Genomic DNA, 2,342 nt, shown 5'->3' on the forward strand with positions numbered 1-2,342 from the left:
AGAAGTCCCGTGCTCAGCCCTGCTGACCTGGGGGTCTCTCGGGCGCTCTGTTCCAGGCCCACACACCTGACAGGCACACACCCTGGAGAGCCGGCGGTCGCCTAGCCTCCACCCACCTCACCTCCACCGCCGCTGTCTGCCCAGCTCTCCTGGGTCATGCCTCTCGGCTCTGCCCACATCAGTGCAGGCTCAGGCCGGTGGGCGTGCCTCCTCCTTCCCCAGGGGGCCGTGGCTGTGGCAGGCGTGGTGCCTTCCCACCCACCCCATGGCGGGCGCCCCTCACCAGCATGCCCAGCTGCGTGGCCAGCACGGCCACGCGGGCCTCTAGCTCCGGCTCCTGCTCCGCCTCACGCAGCGCTCGGGCCCCGCGGGCATGGCCCATGTTCCCCAGGCACACCTTGGCCACGTCCAGCCGCTGGGTCTTCACGCACATGCGCGCCATGTTCTCCCAGACGGCCTCACTGTGGGCAGACGGGGGTCTGTGAGGCTCCTGCCCAGCACCTCAGGGCCCCCTGGCCCTACGGCCCCTTCTCCTGGGGCAAGTAGTCATCAGGCACAGCTGCCAAACGGGCATGAGGAGGGGCCTTCACCCATCGGCTCCGCCCCTGGGCAAGACTGCAGGCCATGCAGAGAGGTGCCCGTCACGAGTCCCACGGCCTTCCTAACCCCAAGAGGCAGGGGCCGGGTCCCATTAAAAGACAGAAGGATCTCTTATGCAGATCACCAGGCTCCTCCTCCTTTTTCCCTGCTCTAAGCGGCTGTCTGATCAGGAAATGTGGGCTTCCTGTGTTGCTTGCACACACAGGACCTGCTCTGAGACAAAGCCTCCTGCTCTCACCTGAGCCTGAGATTGCAGGGCCCCTGGTAAACCAGCCCTGCACAGCAGGGACCCTCACCCGACAGTCTGGCAGCCAAAGGGTGGAGCCTGGGGGACGGGGTACAGGGCCCAGACCCTGACCCAGCCCTGGAACCTGGAGACAGGCCTGTCTCCCCAGGAGACGGTGACCCAGCCCACGCAGGGTTCTGCAGAGCCCTGGAGGTCTGCCGAGCAGAGGGCCCTGGAGGCAGGCCTGCAGACGGGCTGACCAGTGGGTCACGGGGGACAGCACCTTCCACCCCAGCCCTGTGCCCCACTCTCGGGCAGTGAATTTTGTGTGTGTGAAGGAACAGGGTGCCAAGTGGGCAGAGCTGCGTCAGGGCACAGGTGCAGGGACGGTGGAAGTCACCCTGCCTCTTAGGGTTTTTTTGTTGTGTAAGACAGGGTCTCCCTCTGTTGCCTAGGCTGGAGTGCAGTGGCACAATCACAGCTCATTCCAGCCTCGACCTCCTGAGTTCAAGTGATCCTCCCACCTCAGCCTCCCAAATAGCTGGGACCACAGGTGTGTGCTACCACACCCAGCTAAGTTTTTGTATTTTTTGTAGAGACAGGGTTTCGCCATGTTACCCAGGCTGGTCTCGAACTTCTGAGCTCAAGTGATCCACCTGCCTTGGCCTCCCACACTGCTGGGATGACAGGCATGGGCCACCGCGCCCAGCCCCCCGCCTCTCCATGAGGTTTCCTGCATTCTTCCCCTGCTGGCGCTGATCCAGGCAGGACCAGAAATGACTGAGGACTTGGTTTGTGTCAGCTCCAGGGTAGGCAAAGGCTGCTGACAGCCACTCTAGGGACATGACGCTGCATGAGAACCGTGTGTCCGCATGTGTGTGGGGGCACTCAGCCAGGCCTCCTGGTGGGGCTGGGCGGGAGGTGGGTCCAAGGCCATCCAGGGAGATCCCGCCCCAAGGGCCTTGGGGCCGGGCTGGCCTGCGGCTTCAGCCCTGACGTGGGCTCAGGGCTTCAGACAAAGGCCCTGTTCCAAGACACAGCTCAGTGTGGTCACCGAGCAGGGACAGGCAGAGGACGCACTGGTCACTTCCTGAATCTCTCTCCTCTGCCACACGCGCCTCCCCTACAAGCCCCACCAAAGCCACACACACACGCACGCATGCACGCACGTGTGCACACACACGCATGCACGCACGTGTGCACACACACGCATGCACGCACGTGTGCACACACACGGATGCACACACATGGACGCACATGCACACACAGATGCACACACACATTCACATGCATGCACACACACATGGATGCACACACAAGCACATGCACTCACATACACACACATGCAGGCACACACACAGGCACACACAAGCACATGCACGCACATGCACACACACGCACACACATGCACGCACGTACTCCCACAAGCACAGGCAGCACACCCTGCAAGTGGCCTCGGAGCATCCCCACCCAGGGCCACCCTCGCATTCCAGGCTGCTCCCTGCAGATAAGCCTC

At 63.0% G+C, this 2,342-nt stretch overlaps 1 protein-coding gene across 12 annotated transcripts in view; it reads right to left on the reverse strand.

Annotated features, from left to right (window-relative positions):
* Window positions 1-2,342, reverse strand: part of IFT140 (intraflagellar transport 140) — a 101,646-nt gene that overhangs the window by 15,909 nt on the left and 83,395 nt on the right. For all 12 annotated transcript variants that reach the window (XM_047434970.1, NM_014714.4, XM_006720990.4 and 9 more), the window contains one exon: window positions 284-461. In XM_047434970.1, coding sequence (XP_047290926.1) covers window positions 284-461 — 178 coding nt within the window. The remainder of the gene's footprint in view (window positions 1-283; window positions 462-2,342) is intronic.

The sequence above is a fragment of the Homo sapiens genome, chromosome 16 (assembly GCF_000001405.40).
Source record: "Homo sapiens chromosome 16, GRCh38.p14 Primary Assembly".
Lineage (NCBI taxonomy): Eukaryota > Metazoa > Chordata > Mammalia > Primates > Hominidae > Homo > Homo sapiens.